General features: G+C 40.9%; 1 protein-coding gene and 1 long non-coding RNA gene across 9 annotated transcripts in view, besides 1 other annotated feature; one reads left to right on the forward strand and one right to left on the reverse strand.

Moving 5' to 3' along the window:
- Window positions 1–17,897, reverse strand: part of RNF175 (ring finger protein 175) — a 49,865-nt gene that overhangs the window by 1,083 nt on the left and 30,885 nt on the right. For 4 of the 8 annotated variants that reach the window (XM_005262939.4, NM_173662.4, XM_047450102.1 and 1 more), the window contains 5 exons: window positions 16,965–17,119; window positions 12,109–12,216; window positions 8,942–9,062; window positions 4,287–4,420; window positions 1,233–1,334 (listed from right to left, as the gene is read on the reverse strand). In XM_005262939.4, the coding sequence (XP_005262996.1) occupies window positions 1,233–1,334; window positions 4,287–4,420; window positions 8,942–9,062; window positions 12,109–12,216; window positions 16,965–17,119 (620 nt within the window). Of the gene's footprint in view, window positions 1–1,232; window positions 1,335–1,464; window positions 1,846–4,286; window positions 4,421–8,941; window positions 9,063–12,108; window positions 12,217–16,964; window positions 17,120–17,897 lie in introns of those variants that run through there. The other 4 variants (XM_017008047.2, XM_011531879.3, XM_011531882.3 and 1 more) reach the window with 3 other exon arrangements.
- Window positions 8,644–8,813: an enhancer, noted in NCBI's record as "experimental_74840 CRE fragment used in MPRA reporter constructs". NCBI's record gives its function as "activates a minimal promoter by MPRAs in K562 erythroleukemia cells, with activity observed for both the introgressed and non-introgressed 4:154641123 variant alleles {active_cell/tissue: K562}" and the evidence as "EXISTENCE:reporter gene assay evidence [ECO:0000049][PMID:34662402]".
- On the forward strand, window positions 9,056–9,410 carry LOC105377499 (uncharacterized). The gene is made up of 2 exons (XR_007058334.1): window positions 9,056–9,161; window positions 9,250–9,410. It is a non-coding gene; the product is annotated as an uncharacterized LOC105377499 (long non-coding RNA).

Below are 17,897 nucleotides of genomic sequence, written 5' to 3' on the forward strand. Positions count from 1 at the left end.
AAGAGGAATTCCAGGACAGTGGATGAACAGGAAGGTGGAAGGATCATCACACACTTTTAGCCTTGAGTTGGGCTTGAGTGGCACTGACTCACCGAGAAAGGCCAGGTCTGTGGATGGAGTGGGCACTGCAGAGGGTGGTCTCTTGCAATGGTATGGGCCTTGAGACCCAAAGATCCACTGATGTTGCCTCCTTCTCTGATGCCCTCCTTGAATCCCTCCCTGATCTGCAGTGCCCAGAGATGAGGGCATTGCTGCCAGTAGCCATTGTTAAACCATACGTATAGGGTTGGTGAGGAACAGGGGAGCAGGAAGCAAGGAAGGTGATTCCTTTAGCATTGTAAAATTTAGCTATTACTTAGAAAGTACAGAAAGGCTGTCTCTTAGAGAAGAGATGGTACTTGGCAGGTTGATGCCAACCTTTCAGGACTCTTCTGCTTAAGGGAGGATATGTTTTAATTCCATTCCCACCCTGCTTCCTGAATGAGATATACTATGGTCTTGAGATAGTGAGGTTGAAGACAAAGTCTTTCTAGTTAGCTCCTGATGGGGGCCATTACCTTCCTGCGACCTTAATGTGACTTGAATTTATTCTGTTGCACACCTCTGATGTCTATACAAATCTCAGTGGCTGCCAGAAGCTGATCAACTCTGTAAATCTTTATTTATTTTCAATATTGTTATCACTAGTGTTTGGCCTAAGAAGAGATGATGCATGGCATGGAATTTAAAAAGCCAAAATCCAGACGGGGAAATACCTACTCATTTCTGGGAATAATAAAATTTGGTACACCCTAACATATTTTAAAAATAGTTTTCTGTACTCTAGTTCACATTTCGGCTTTTAAAATTTCAATTCCAATTTTTCTATTTATGCACCTATCTACCCACCCATCCAGTTCACTCATTTATTCATCCATCCATCCATCCTGAATATTCTTCCATATATTTTACCTATTTTTTGCAGTGTCTCATCACATTTCCACTACAGCCCTTAATGTGGAAAATATAGAACATAAAGAGTGGAATGTTTTCTGGCATTTAACTTTCTAACCAGAATAGTAATATAGGCACAGAGGAGAAAAGAGACCATAAGTCATTTTGAAATAGGTGGTTAGGGAAAACAAAAAATTTTCTGCTGGAACTATACAAAAACACTGAAACTTTTCATTGAAGAATATATCCCCAGAAACATTCAAGATAATCTCTTATAACCTTTTTGTTTTAAAGGATATGGATTACTGATCATCCTCTTCAAATCAACTTTCTCTTTGCAGTAAGGGCAAGTCTGCTTTTTCCCAACGATACACCAACCTCGGATGCAGAATTCATGAAAGCTGAAGCATCTTGTTAGGGAGGCTTCTAGATATGAAAAGGCAATGTCTGGTTCATGATGGCATGGAATGGTCCCATCTTCAGGGTCTAGTGGTGGAGTCATGACTTGATGAGGCACATCGCTTTTTTCGGGAGGTTCTGTAAGGGACCTGACAATGACAGTGAGCCTGGAGTCACAGCTGCCTTCGCTTTATGACCCTGAGGAATTTACTTAGCTTCTTGGCCTTCTTGCCTCACTTGATTCTGGTAAGAATTAGATTAGATAAAGAATATGAGTCCTTTTTTTTTTTTTTCCTTTACAGTGATGTCTTCCATAAGTGTATTGTTATATTTCCCCACCTTGTTATTGTGCGTTTCTCAGGCATTTACCGTAGCATTTCTCTGTTCTACTTTTTGTGCATTATTCTTTAGCTTCATGTAATCAGACTTGTCTTAGGCACTTAGACAAGTTAAAATTATTTGTGGTCATAAAGTTACAAATATTTCCATTAACTTCATAATTTTTTTTCTTGACTTTTAAAAGTACTGATAAGGAGCCAATTATTTTTAATAGAATATATACCTACTAAACTTAACTTCTCAAACTCTAGGCATTTACAGATCCATTTGTATACGTCTCCTGGTCCAGAAAGTCTGACCCTTTGTCCCCAAACTTGAGTGAACCCTATGTGTTCTCACAGCACCAGGGACTTACTCTAGTGTAGCAGGACTTTTGGTACTTACATGTTTCTCCTAGACCATGTGTTACCTGTAGGACTATGTCTCATTCATTTCAGTGTCCTCAGCACCTTAAGCCATGCCTAAGAAATATTTATTGAATGAACATTTGAATGACTCTTTCAAAACTGATTATTTTTGGGAATATATATTTCCATGTTCCCTGATACTATGGATTTGGGCAAAATGAACTATAATGAAATCCATCCTACTGATTTGTTTATTTCTACAATCGCTGCTCCCAATGTGACTTTCTGGGCCAAGATCACATGATCTTCTGACTGGCCTGCTACACACCCAGGTGAACAGCAACGATGTAGAAGTTCCCTCCCTAACAAATGGAGGAGCTTGGAGGTGTAGCAAGTCAAGGCCATGTATATAACTCCTCAGTATTAAATTTCAATGTAACCAGGAGTTTCCATTATTTTATGTTCTTGGAATTGGGGTCATTTTTGCAATATGCTTTAAAATAAAGTGGTGTATTATAACGAAGATTTTGAACCAAAACTCAAACAGCCTTTCATTCAAAAGGGCTGGAATACAGCCCCATCTTCTACAGAGGTATAGAATTCAGGGGCCATTGAGTCAGCACAGAAATGTCCACATTCTCTCTAATGTTCTTTTTCATTTTCAAAATCTCAATGCTGAAAAACTTGCACACTGGCAGAACTTCTGCAGAGCAAGACTCAGATAACCCATCCTTGTTAATATGACTCATATTTGCCCATTTCTCACTAATATGACTCATGCTAAAATGGGCCATTAATAATACTCCCTGAAAAGCAAATTTAAAGGTGACTACATTTTAGATTATATATGCACACATGTACAACAATCCCTAAGGGCTTTTAAAGGTGGAGAGAGAAAACATTTCCATTTGCAAATGGCAGAAGGGGCTCTGTTCCAACATTTGAAAAATAAATCATATTTAAAACTAGGGCCAGACTTGGAAAATTGCTACAAAGAATGAGTTTTTTGGGAAAGGTATCACACTGAAAAAACCACTACAGAAATCCATATGGGGTATCTTTGTGTTTCTTCCCTTAAGATTTTAAGGCTTATGTATTGGAGTAAAGGCTCCTATTACTTTTGAGATGCATTTGGTCCTGGTTTTACTTTCAGGATTGAATAAGTGGAAACTGTCCAGATTAAACAGAATTGAATCATAGGTACTGGACACCGAGGTATGACTGACTAAATTAAGTGGGCTTTAGGCAAAAGACAGATGGTTTAACCATCTCATAATGCCAGAGCTTTGAACTAACTGGGTACATAGCGATGACATTATTAAATTGATACTGTACTATAAAATAAAGATAAATGATACCCTTTTTTGTATTTAGGAAGAATTAAAATACTGATGATTGGCCAACCTAAGCCTAACTTTGGTATCCATAGCAAAAGTAGTGTCCATACATGTTCAGGCAACACAGGTTGATTTGTTCAGGGGTCTCGATGCCAGCATTTTTCAGCACATTGAGGCTTTCCTTAATGGTTACTGGAGTTCACATAGAATGCTGGTTTCCAGGCTCAGGCTGTCTGGTACCTATCATATGAAGATCCCTCAGCCAATGGATAGCTATTTGGGATAGAACCCATTGGTGGAGGAGCCCATGGTCCAAGAACAAATGTCCAAATTTTGGTCCCTGCTTTTGTAATCCAAGGTGTCTTGCTGCCTGTGGCTGTATCTTCTTCTAAAGACTGAAGCTGAGAAGAAGGCTTGGTTTCCTCCCTTGGCTGCCCCCAAGACTACTGTTGCCACAGGTAGGTTCCTAGGATTATTTCTAGGCAAAGCACTCTTTGTATTTCTTGATCTGCTAAGATTCAGACCTTGGGCTCCACTTGGATAGTCTTAAGTTCCCCCCTGCACCTGATACTTCACTCTTTTTCTCACCTCCAAACCCCTTCTTTCCCTGATCTTTGTTGGCTATCTGCTCACTTATGACTTCAACCAATTTCCCCTGCCAGCACCCTGCTCAGATACTGCCTTCCTGTCTATGTGGCATTAACAGTCCTCTTTAGAAAGGAAATTACTGGAGGAGGAGGTTCACCTTAATTAGCAGTTCATTATTCAGCAGGGACAAACAGGAAGACTCGACTGGGCTGGAGGATAAAGGACTGGGGTTTGGGCATGGAAGGTAAGCAAGATGGAGGAGATGGGGACAGGAGGAGGAGGAGGAGAAGGAGGAAAGAAGGAGGCTTGATGAAGCCCAAACAATTTCCTTTGAAAAGGATACACATGATTACAGGAAAGCTGGTAGGTGTTTTCAATGAGCCCTTCTTCATCAAGCTCCACAATGATCTTCTGCCCACAGACTGCACAGATATTGTCCGATAAGCTCCTTGTAGGCAACCGGCTGACACTGTAGAACTATCAGAGGAAATGGACAGAGCACAGTCAGAAAGGAGAGCACATGCCACTCTCTGAATGCAGGAAGCCACTGCCAGGCACTGGGACAGGCAGCCCTTGGCACATAGAATCTCCACTGCGGCCGGGCATGGTGGCTCATGCCTGTAATCCCAGCACTTTGGGAGGCTGAGGCAGGTGGATCACAAGGTCAGGAGTTCGAGACCAGCGTGGCCAACGGGGTGAAACCCTGTCTCTACTAAAAATACAAAAAAATTAGCCAGGTGCGGTGGTGGGTGCCTGTAATCCCAGCTACTCGGGAGGCTGAGGCAGGAGAATCGGTTGAACCCGGGAGGTGGAGGTTGCAGTGAGCTGAGATTGCGCCACTGCACTCTAGCCTGGGTGACAGAGCAAGACTCTGTCTCAAAAAAAAAAAAAAAAAAAAAAAGAATCTCCACTGCTTCTAAGATAGTTTAGAATGTGAGACACCGTTTCCTGTAAGAAGAATGCTACAGAGGGGTTAAGGTTTCCAGGCAAAAACTCATTGAATTCCAAAGGGACCCAAAGCACATTGCCAATTATAACTTCTCATCTAACCTCCACATTGAGGAATCCTTTCACAGGAATCGTTTTTATCCAGGGCTGGAGTTAAGAGGAAGCTTCAGAGGAAGCCTTTGAGTTTAATCCATAGATTGGCCCTTCCCTTTATTGTCCTGGAGATTCTGATTCAGATCTCTGGAGTAAACCGAGGCATCTCTCCGTCATTTAAATCCCCATGTTTTTATTGGGTGCATGCTGAGCAATCACCATTAGAAGGCAATGCATTTAGAACTTTACTTTGGGATATCTGCATCTTCCCGTACTGTGGATAAGGAGTGGTTCTCAACATTGGCAGCATATTAGAATCCCTAGGAAGCTTTTTTTTTTCCAAAGAAAATTATTTTATAATAGTTTTAGATTTAAAGAAAAGATACAAAAATATTACAGAGATTGGCTATATACCACATATCTAGTTTCCCTATATTATTATTAGATTGATTTAAAGGAATTGGCCCACACATTTGTGGGCAAGTCAGAAATTTGCAGAGCAGGTTGGCAGGCCAGCAGGCTGGAAACTCTGGCAAGATTGATGTTGCAGTCTTGAGGTAGAACTCCTTTTTCTCTAGGAAGCCTCAGTTTTTGCTTTTAAGGCCTTCGACTGATTGGCTGAGGTCTATGTAGAATATTAAGGATAATCTCCTTCAGGTAAAGTCAATTGATTATAGATATTAATCATATCTGCAAAATACCTTTGCATCAACATGTAGACTAGTGATTTTGCCAAACAAGTGGGTATCATAGCCTAGGCAAACTGACTCTAAAATGTAATCATCACAACCTCGTTAAGGGAGGAGAATTTATATAAATTATGTGGAATTCTTTTGCACAGATTTGACTATTCTCTTCCACTTATTTATTTATTCAATCATTTATTTGATATCAATGTGGACTCATGGATATTTATGCTTTGGGTTATAACCCAATACTACTACTATTACTATTTTGTTGCTCAAATTCCAGCTTTGGCCATTGGGAGCTCTTTCAGTTGGCTCCTGTGTCTCTTTGACATATCCCCAATCACTGTGGAGTTCTTTTGTTTTGTTTTTAGCATTTTCTTGCTTTTGGTCACTACGAGATGCTCCAGGCTTATATTGTGTATTCTTTGCCCAGACCTATAATGAGCCATTTCTTCAAGGAGTGCCAGTTCCTTTTATTGTAGAATGATATTAGAAAACAAGATCTGGACACTATGTATGTTCATTGTTGCTGGGGTGTCATTGCCCCTAGGACCTCTTAGCTGACAGAACAAGGAATTCATCTGTATATACTAACACACACACACAGATACACACACAAACACACACACACACACACACATACATATCTGTAAATATTTCTATATCTATCCATGTATATCTATATTAAGCTAAACAATTACAATTACAGAATACATGTATGGTGGTATCAAAATTGTTAACCCATAGACTTGACAGCAATAACTTTATCAACTAGAGTACAGTGCTTATGACACAGTTTCTTTTGTTTTTAGTCTTATGATCTCCATTCATTTCAAAGTTACTTAGGTCAGCACCTTTTTTCCCACCCCTTTCAATGACATTATTTCATACATTTGTAATATGGTTAGATTCTTTTGGCATGATCTGAATTCTACCCTTGGATTCTCTGACTTCCTAAATTATTTTTAAAATTTGCATAAATTTAAGGTTCACACTTTCTATGGATTTTGAGAAATGTATAGTGTTATATATCCACCGTTATCGTATCACACAGAAGAGTTTCACCACTCTACATTTCCTGTGCTTCACCTATTCAACCACGCTCCTTCCCTAAAGCCTTGGCAACCATGGATCTGTTTAGCAACTCTATAGTTGCGCCTTTTCTAAAATGTCAGATAAATGCAGTCATACAGGATGGAGTCTTTTCAGACTGGCTTCTCACACTCAGCAACATGCATTTAAGATTCACCCCATGGTTTTGGATGGCTTAATAGCTCATTCCTTTCCTAAGGAGTTTTTTTTGTTTGTTTGTTTGTTTGTTTGTTTTTTTTTTTTTTGAAGCAGATGCACTGGATCTACTCCCAGAGATTCTGATTTACTTGCTTTGGTGTGGGGCTTAGGCACTGATACGGGAATGGAGACTGTATGTCCTTACCTCAGTCACAAGCACATGCACAAGTGTCTGTGGACACACACACACACACCCCTTATTAATCCAAATCACTGGTGGCTGTACCAATGGCTTGAGGCAGTGGTTTTTATAGATTTGGTCGCTGGAATAAACAGACAGGATGACAAAATGTTAAGAACTGGTCGGGTTGGATCAGGTGAGAAGTTTCCCAAAAGCTGGTGCTTAAAGACTTGGTTGTCTTGCCAGGTAAAGTCTCTTCTTCTTGGTCCACTTGAGAACAGCCACATATAATTCTAATCTTCCTTTTCTGTCCATAAACACAAGAGGTTTTGGGAATTTTCCAAGGGGTATAACTTCTGTTTTTTCTTGGAGAAACTGGGAATAAAAATACTCCTTCCTGTGCTCACATTAAACCTTATAAGAAAGGCAGTTGTATTGTACCAGCATTTCACCACAGAATTTGGGCTGCAGGCTTTAGGAAAAGAGTAAGATAGAGCCTATGGTGGAGGGGATGGACAATTGCTGTGGGGAGGAAGTCAAGGTCATAGCCACTTAGGTCCTGCTCCAGAAATGGAGGGAGCAGTCCAGAAGTTCACCCTTTTCTTGCTACTTACACTGTTTTTTTCTTTTTTTAAAAAAATTAAATTTAATTTAAAATTCCAGGATACACATGCAGGTTTGTTGCATAGGTAAACATGTACCATGGTGGTTTGCTGCACCTGTCAACCCATCAGCTAGGTACTAAGACCCACATGCATTAGCTATTTTTCCTGATGCTCTCCCTCCCGCTCCCGATAGGCCCCAGTGTGTGTTGTTCCCCTCTCTGTGTCCATGTGTTCTCATTGTTCAGCTCCCATGTACAAGTGAGAATAGGCAGTCTTCAGTTTTCTGTTCCTGTGTTAGTTTGCTGAGGATAATGGCTTCCAGCTCCATCCAAGTCCCTGCAAAGGACATTATCTCATTCTTTATTATGGCTGCATAGTATTCCATGGTGTATACGTACCACACTTTCTTTTTCCAGTCTATCATTGATGGGTTGTTTCCATGTCTTTGCTTTACACTGATTTTTCTACTTCACATCTGGCTGTGTACCAGGAGACACATGTAGAGGACAGAGATGTGGAATTCTTGAAACTACTAAGTCATCCCTAGAGCCTTTAGTTTGTAAGTTTTTAAGATATGCAAGAGTCAGACATAGATAAATGCCCCTGATATCTGAATCAGGAATACATCTAACTCCAAAGTATGTCCATTCTGAATTTTAGTCTTAAAAGAGTTCAAAAAAAGAAAAGAAAAACAACTGTTAGGGATTAAAAAAATTCTAGGTAACAGTATAGAGTCAGAATACATCTAGCATACTTTTTATATCTTCTACTTCTTCAGATGCTATATAATGTGACTGGTATTTATAATAAGTATTACCCAGATGCACTGTTGATTCTGAACTGTTTTATGCATCATCAACTATAGTTTTTATTTGCATTAGGCAGGGTTTCAGACAGAGCTGAAAGGTTTTAGTTATTGTTAATGTTTTACTAATCCTTAAATGTTGGCAATTGGAGTATGCTAGATACAATAACATAAATAATTTGCGTATTTTATTTTAAAAGATGCCTTATTGCACAAGTATTCTATATACATAAGACATGTATTTTCCAATTAATTAACAAAGAATTTTTTGATGAAAGGAGAATCCAGGGAGCAATTGGTCTAGGTGAACCAAAAGAGTTCCAAAGGAAACAATAATCAGTATATGGAGAAAGACTTATTTGTTTCTGAAAATGGATGCAGACATGTAAGATGAGACCATTTCTCTTTGTGTCATACATGGTTTCAGAAAATGAAAGCAACACTTACCCCTATAGTGGAAGCCATGTAGTCTGAGCAGATCTCGGCAAAGTCTCTCCCCATTACTCCATAGTAGAGGCCGTAGAACAAAGACACAATGCCAAAATCCATGGAATCTCTAGCTTTGATTCTATTGAAAACAACAGTATAAGGAAATAAGAATGTGGCATATTTCCAAACAGCTGGAGTTTGGAAAATATTTCCTGTTGATGGTATCTAAGAGAACCTTGTGGGTATTTTTTTTTTCATTTATGTGTTTGATTTTTCTTTTTTAAATGAAATAATTTAAAATCCTCTGAATTTCCCTCAAATTGTAGCACTCAGTGCCAACTGGACAAAGGAATTCTTGAGATAGCCTTCAAGTGCTTCTTAGGACTGCAGTGCCTAGACAAGCTGACTCTGACCAGTGGTTTCAGGCTCAGCTATACGTAGGCCTCAGCAGCTTGTAACAGTTTCCATCTCCAGGCCACACCCCAGGTAACTCCAATGGGCAGCTAACATTAAGAACCACTAGAGCAATAGTTCTTAGCCCTAAACATATATTAGAATCACCTGGGAAGATTTAAAAGCACATTAACATATGGGCCCACCACCAAGGACTGGAGTTTAGTTAATCCGGGTTGGGGTCTGGACAGCAGTATTTTTAAAGAGCTTGTTAAGTGATTGATTCTTTAACACAGCAAGGATTGAGTATGTCTGCTGTAGAATTTAGATTTTTATAAAATACTTTCTAATGATCTTTCCTAACAAGTGCTTGAGATAGATATTATCACCACCACTTTACATGTGAAAACATGGAGACTTAGAAAACATTATTTGCTTGACACAAAAATTGGTACATCACAAAGCCACAAATCAAGCTCACATCTTGAAGCCCTTGATTACCATGCCAGAGTTGCTATGTATTAACTGAAAAAAACTTTTTGTAAGTTAAATCATATTTCAATTATACCAGGATTCTTTGTGATCATCCCCCCAGCCAGTTTTTTTTTTTCTTAAGGGAAAGATCTCTTTTAAAAGTGAATAATTTGCCATAAATTTAATTTATGAATCTAAATAATTGCACATTTGGTTTGCTCTATCTATAAAACAATCTCAAATATCAGTGGTGACCCTTGGTGGTTCTGATTGATTCAGGGAAGGGAGGAAAATGTGAACAAGAGTTGGGTAGTCTCTCTCTAAAACCTATTTCTGTTTTCTGTTCATTGCAGGAAGAAATGGTGAAGGCAGACAGCTTTGTAGATTTAGAAGGTACAGATTTTTGGGTGATATGAACTGAGGCTTCCAACACAGGTGGTAGCTTCATCCTTTCAAGATTTGTCTGGGTATATCTGAGAATTAGGACAGTGGGGGAAGTGAAGAGTATCTTTCTTCCATGTCCAGGGAAATATGTATCAATAATTTTATTGATAAAAAGTACAGTAACACACTTGTGGCTCCCTAGGAAAAAAGCTTAATACAATGATAATCATCAAGTAGTGAAAAAAAATAGTTCCTTTTCTAAAGGGTTAAGTTTTTGGTATGCCTTACTGTAGGAAAATTCATGAATAAGGATCTTGAAATCTTATGAGGTAATAATCTGGGAACAGCTATCGTTCCCAGTGATTTCAAAAAAATCCTTATGAGTATTTTTATGTTCACTAAAATAAACCAGTATAGACAGTATGTTAAAAAAGACATTACAGTGTCTTTCTATATCCTAACCTAGCAATAATAGATTTGTACAATTACTTTCTACCGCTTTCCTGCTAGAAAATGTTAGGTGCTCCTGCTCCAAAAGTTTTATGAAATGCTTATAAAATCAGATTGCTATGCTGCCATAGGAAAAGCCCTTTCACCCAGGGCTGACTCTCCATCTGATTGCCTTCCCTGTTTTCTGAGTAAAGGGTTGATGAGCTCTCCTTTTCAATTTCTGTTATGGTCCCAGAAGTTTAGAGTAACTTTGATGTGAGAGCTATTCTGGGGGATTTGTATTTGAGCTGCTTTCCATAGCTGTGTGGTATGTCTTCAGTCCCCTTTCCAGGACACAGGCTGGTTACTCAGCCTCAGTCGTGTCCCTGAGAATGCCATCCACAGCATGTCTCAGCAACCACCTTAAGTGGGAGCACAGCTGTTGGTCAAAGATGTGGTTATCCCTACTTCCTTTATCTCTCCCTAGACTTTCTTGCTGTTTTATGCCTTTACTTGTCTTTCAATTGCTTTTTTAAAACTCCCCATCTATTAAACAATAGATATTGACATGTTTTCTATCCTTCAAATCTTTTTTATTTATTTGGTTTCCCAGCTTTATTTTTTTCCAATTAAAATTATTTTTGAGACGAGGTCTGGCCATGTTGACCAGGCTGGTCTTGAACTCCTGGCCTCAAGCAATCCTCCCACCTCTGCCTCCCAAGTAGCTGGGATTACAGGCATGAGCCACGGCGCCCAGCCTCTTACAATTTCGAAGCACTCACTTTTTCCTCCTTTTCCAAGTATCCCCAACACAAGGCATTTCATGACTATCAGAAACCAAATTCAAGAGAGAAGTGCTGTCCAATGTAAATACAACCACAAATATAATTTTAAATTTTCTGGTAGGTGCATTTAATAAGTCAAAAAAAAAAAACACAACAAAAAACAGGTGAAATTAATCTCACCAATATATTTAAATACTATCATTTCAAAATGTAATTGATATGAAAATGTTTTTTGTGTAAGTCTTTGAAATTCAGTATGTATTTTACACTTAGAGTACATCTTATTTCATATTTTAGGTGTTCAGTAGTCACATGAGCTAGTGGCTACTATACTGGACAACATAATTCTAGAGGTTTTAGATAAGAAGATATATATAAAAGGAGATCTAGGTACTTGAGAATTTTGTAGAAGAGAAATTAGTTCAGTAAGAATTACTCTAGCACAATTGTAGGTCCACTGTTAATAGCAATCTTTTAAATTTGCAGACCAAATATAAATTCTCCTTAAAGCTCCTAATTTTAAAAAATTATTTTGTAGGGTGCTTCTTTCTTCCCTTTCTATTGGTTTTCCCCAGAGAAGACTACGTGTGGATATCTACTATAAAACATGTGTGCATGGAAAATTGTAGGGCCAGATGCTTCTGGATTAAGAGAACATGACCAGGTGAGTGTGCCAAGCAAGTGCTTGGAGATATTAATGTCTTAATTGGAGATACTTACTTGAAAAACAGATTGAATCCACACATTGTAAACATGATCGCCAAGTAACCCACAACACCAAATGCATAGCTGAGTTTGTAGATCAAAAGAAACCATTTGTAGACCAATCTGTGGAGTGAAAAATGGGGAGAAACACAGAACACAGAAACACAGAAAAATGGGGAGAAACACAGTAATATTATAAAATATTTTGTCTTTTTCAAAGACTTATAAATCAGTTTTTAGTTTCTAAAAGTAAATTTATAACACACAGAACACAGATGTATATAGCAATAAGCATTATATGAATAGAACTATCATGCTCATGTGTTTCTGTGTATATGCGTATGTGAATTCTTTTTAAATTTGTCTACGTCCCTCATGTGCTTCACTTAAAAATAGCCTTCAGGAATGGTTACTCTTCCTGGGACCCTGCCTCCCCACAGCGCCCCCTTCTCATTTGGTCCTAGGGTTAACCTTGAGTGGTTTCAGCAGGAGTGCCTTGGAGGTGAACAAAAAGTGGGATGAGAAGTCAAAGGGGAGTCCAGAACTTCTTCCCCAGGAGTTTTTCTTCCCTCTTGTTCTGTTGCCCCTTTTCCCCCAGCCCCAGTGCAGATATCACCAGTAGTGGGCCCAGCCCTCATCCCATGTCCCCTCCACCCAAAGAGCCCTCCCCTAGCCCAGGGGATGAAATGATGAGAGCCCCAGGCTATTTCCTTCTGCTGTGTGGAAGGGTCCTGCGTGTACCCCAGCACCCTCTGTGACCTTCCAAGGCCTTTCCTTGTTCCCAAAGGGTCTAAGTGGAGAAGGAAAAGGATGAGGATGGAGGGCGAGTGGAGAGAATCTAGAAGGAAGCCCTCCCCTCTGCTGGTTTCCTTCTTCATTGGCAGTAAAGGCCCTTAGAAAAAAACTACAAGAAGGACCATGTGACCAGCTTCATGTCTAGGAGGATGGGGGAAGAGGTTGGGAGCCCAGTTCCATTCTTGGAGGGCCACAGCAGAGGGGCTATGCCCATTGGTACAAGAGGTAGTGGATGGAAAAGCTGGGGGCTTATCTTTGTTGCTCAAAGAAAATGAAGAGGTGGCTAGAAAGCTGCTTACAAGGGTGTGCAATGGCAGAAGGCCCTGTTTGCCTCACATCCCTTTCCCTGCACATCCTCTTGGAGTCTCTTTCCTGCTTTTCACTCCAAACTGCATTAAGAGTCTTGCTCCAGATGTTTAGCCCCACCCTCTCACCCCCAAGTCCTGAGCCCTGTCTCTGACTCTTTCACCTTCCCCAGCTCACTCCCTGTTGGAGCCATTGCACCAAATACTTAAGATCTATGATATTACTAGCATAAGGTTTCAATATGATTTTAATAGGTGCTCTATTTCACTGAGTTCCAGTCAGAAGGGACCTTCTGAACATCATGGTTTAAATGGGTTGTGGGCTAGCTCCTGAAATGTGTTGTCATTTACATCACTTCTATGGTGAACCACCTTCTGCACTTGAAGCAACTGATATTCAAGGGCTGTCTGTGCTGCCACCTACTCCACCAGGTGTGATCCTGCCCCAGGGGGGAGTAGGCAGGGGTGAGCTACGTGGGGGACCAGGCAGAGGTGAGCTACGTGGGGGAGTGGGCAGGGGTGAGCTACGTGGGGGAGCGGGCAGGGGTGAGCTGTGTGGGGGAGCGGGCAGGGGTGAGCTGCGTGGGGGAGCGGGCAGGGGTAGGCTGCGTGGGGGAGCGGGCAGGGGTGAGCTGCGTGGGGGAGCGGGCAGGGGTGAGCTGCGTGGGGGAGTGGGCAGGGGTGAACTGCGTGGGGGAGTGGGCAGGGGTGAGTTAAGTGGAGACAGAAACTTGCATGGGCTGCAGAAGTTGGCTGAAATTACTGTGAGGCTGTGTGGCCTCAAAAGGAAGCCAGAGAAGGCTTTTGGCGTCTTTCTGCCACAGTGACTCTTGAGCCATGGGTTCTTTTCATTTGTCAGTACTGAGCAGTTTAGATCATTGCTCAGGGCAGCCAGATCAAGGCGGAAGTTTATGTTGCTAAAAGTGGTGATGGTGGAGAAACAGGCAAGCTCTGAGAGGGTCCCCTCTACTAGGCCCCCAACACCTGCCAGTACCAGAATATGGTTCCTTGAACTCCGCACACACTGGTGACCCATTTCCCTGCCTTAAGGGGCCTCTCTCAAACTTCCGCCAGCATTAGAGATGTTTTAGGACTAATAACCTTTAAACTGCAGGGTTTCTCTGTGCAAAGCGGTTTGTTGAATTAATGAAGCCATAGCATGCTGTTGGGAGCAGGAGCTTTGCAGCCAAGTAGTTCTTTGGTCTGATCCAAGGCTTTGCTGCTTACTGCCCATGGGACTTTGGTCAATTTACTTGGCATTCCTTCCTATGATTGCCTAATTTATAACATGAGGATAACACTAGCTCCTAAAGTTGTTCTGAAGGTTGTGTGAGCTAATGTATTGATGTTTATTGACTTGGCACACTAAATGCTCAATATGTCATATCACTGTTATGGATGTGTTCAGTTTTCCAAATCTCAAGCCCCACTTCTCCTGCCATTTTCCTGCTTATTGCGGGTACCTATTTTCAGGAACAGTAGAGTCCAGAATTTCCTTGCTACCCAGACTTACACTGTAAGGCAGATAAGCCAGATAGGAGATTGTTTAACTGCTTCAGAGCAGCCTCCAAAAGGAAAGCTTGGCCTTGGGCTGGATTCAATGTGATCAAGCCCAGCTCTTTGTGGCTAGTGTGTGTATGTGTGTGTGTGTGTGTGTGTGTGTTTTGTTTTTGTTTTGTTTTGTTTTTGAGGTGGAGTCTTGCTCTGTTGCCCAGGCTGGAGTGCAGTGGCGTGACCCTGGCTCACTGCAACCTTTGCCTCTGGGTTCAAGTGATTCTCCTGCCTCAGCCTCCCGAGTAGCTGGGATTACAAGCACCTGCCACCACACCCAGCTACTTTTTGTATTTTTAGTTGAGACAGGACTTCACCATGTTTGCCAGGCTGGTCTCAAACTCCTGACCTCAGGCGATCCACCCACCTCGGCCTCCCAAAGTGCTGGGATTACAGGCGTGAGCCATTGCATGTGTGGCTTATTTCTGACCCTGAACTTCACTGCTTGCCAGACAAACCAACTGTAGTTGAGAGGAAACTCACTTCCCCTTCTTTGGGCACCCCATCCTGAAACAAGAGCTTGATGTGCTCTCAAAGAGAAATAGTAGGCTTTGAACTGCTGGTGCTGGAGACCACTGCTCATGGGTCTGCCTTCTACAGCAATGCTGATTTCTTCATCCAGCTCCCCTAGCCTGTAATGAAATCCTCTGCTTCCAAATGGAAGATAGTTAAAATGTGACTCACCTGTAATACAATAATTAAGCAAAGATCCATGGTAATTCTGGGGCCTATTGCCTCTTATGTACAGGAGCTCCATCCTGACTGCTCTTCTAGAAGAGGCCCTACTTCACCTTGCTCAGTGATGTCTCTTCAAATGGCAGCTGAGTTTGCTTTATAAAGTCAGTGGAGCCTCTTGACTCTCAGACTATCCTCTAGGGCTTGGAGTTGTGCAGGCAGGAAGAAGCTGAGAGGACATGCTTTGGGCATGGGAAAGAGAGCGGACATATGCAAGCCATAAAGGGTAATGAGGCAGCATTTGGGTATTTCTTGTAATAAAGTTCCTCTGCATTGCACGAACTGATGTGCACAAAGACACTGCCTTTAGATGGGGTAATTCATTCTACAGTGGATAGGCGAACCATTCTCATGGAAATACAACATAGATTATATCCAGGGGATGAAAACAAGCACATTTTGATTCATCCCAAACTCAGAGCACTTTCACAAATCTTAAATAACTTAGAATATTTTCTAAGGAGAAAGGTACCATACATTCACTTTACTGATTGATAAGCCAGACACTACAAGGGCTGTCCAAGATCCCAAATTGGCCAGTTTATAAGGTCTCCTACCACCACCCAGACCTCTTCCTCTTTAGTTTAGTGGAACTGAACTAAAATACTCATAACATGAATTCATGTATTTGGATATCCATTTTTATCATCACATTTATTTATCTGATTTCTCATTGGATATTTTTCCTTCTCCTAACTTGAAGGAAAAGTTGATATACATGTTTCCTACTTTTTTAGAGGATGAAGACAAATGTCTAAATAATCATAAAAGTATTTCACTGAAGCTTATGATTTATTCTTCCAAAAGGTCAAATTTAGCATTGTTTTATCACTATTTTACATTTTACACACTTTATCTCATTCCAGTTTTATCATGATGAGGATATGGATTTTATCCACAGAACAGGGAGGGCAAAAGCAAGCCTGTGGGCACAGTATGTGATGATAAGCACTTTGGAAGGATTTGTGAATGATACAACGGAGTTATACAAATCTTTGGAAGCTGACAATGGTAATTAAAGTGACCATTGGAATATTAAACCATCATTTGTTATTAGAGTAATAAGTTGTCCATGACTTATGATTTATTACATGTTTTCAGGTTGAAACACAACTTTCAACTCTTGCTCTATTTTAAAATGTGTGACACAACTTATAGTGGAATAAAGAAAAATGCTGAGGTAAAAATAAACTTGCAAATAATGCTCTAGAAATTTTAAACAATAGTTTCACTTCTTTCTTCTGCATTTCACTAGCTAATATTTGAAGTAATAAATTTTACATGCATATCTGAATTGCTATTAAATAATGAAGGCAAACTAAGACCAGTGTAGCTAATTTCTCAATTGTTTTGCTACCAAAGGTAAAAGACACGTAAAAGAAATGTAACCCCCCCACTCCCCAACCCAGGAAAATGGCAATAAAATATGCTTTGTAATATTTAAAATAAAGGGGCTCCTGGGGAAGGAATGTATGGAATACATACCGTGGTGTCCTTCCTGAGAGGGGTTTTCGGGTAGCTCTGAAGAGGATGTAACTGGTAATAACGGAGAACATCCCCCACATAGACAGAAACCGCCACCAGTATAATTTTATCGTGAAATATAAGGGGACAACCCACATCTGCAACAAGGTCACCAGCTGTCAGAGAAATGAACAGGAAGTATCTTTCAATGACCAAGTGCCTGAATGGCATCTCCACTATTAAATGAGTCTGAAGCATTGCTGGGAGAACCACCTTCACCATCATGTCTGTACCATGCAACTGGTTCACCATCAAACTGTAAGCTTCCCTAGACAGGCCAGGCTATGGGGAGTATGGGCACAATTATCTGAAAATTCCAATGGGAAACAATCCAAAATACCCGCCCTCTGTCACTTCCTTTCATCTGACAATTTTAGATTAAAGGCCTTTGGGGCCTCCATAGAGATGTGATTTTGGACAAGGGAGCCTCACTTTAGTTGTATAATTGGGGGTACAGATGCTTGCACTGCTTCCCTGCACTCACTGAGGCGGGGATCAAACGAGATCAGGAATGGAAAGCACTCTGAAAACCATACTGCACTACACAGAGCCCAGGGGCTTTGTTACTGTCATGTATCCATACGAAAGTGACAGCAATGTCAAAGGAGGAAGTGGAGGTCAGAGTTTCAGAGAAGCCCCTGGGATGTCTTCTGCCTGCAGTCCCAGGGCACTCTGCAAGGTTTCCTGTTCGTTTGGTGCATAAACCTTTTGTGATCTGTGCCATTGACCTGAGTCCAAGTAGCCTTCAGAGGGTCCTTTAATCTGGTCCCATTCCCATAGGTCAGGGAGCAGGGCAGAGTGAACTGACTGTCTGTGGGTCACTGATGTGATATGGTTACCATAGCTATACTCCTACTCCTCGAAGCAGGCCTAGTACCAGCTAGTCACCCCTCT

This window comes from Homo sapiens, chromosome 4 (genome assembly GCF_000001405.40).
Source record: "Homo sapiens chromosome 4, GRCh38.p14 Primary Assembly".
NCBI classification, from domain to species: Eukaryota; Metazoa; Chordata; class Mammalia; order Primates; family Hominidae; genus Homo; species Homo sapiens.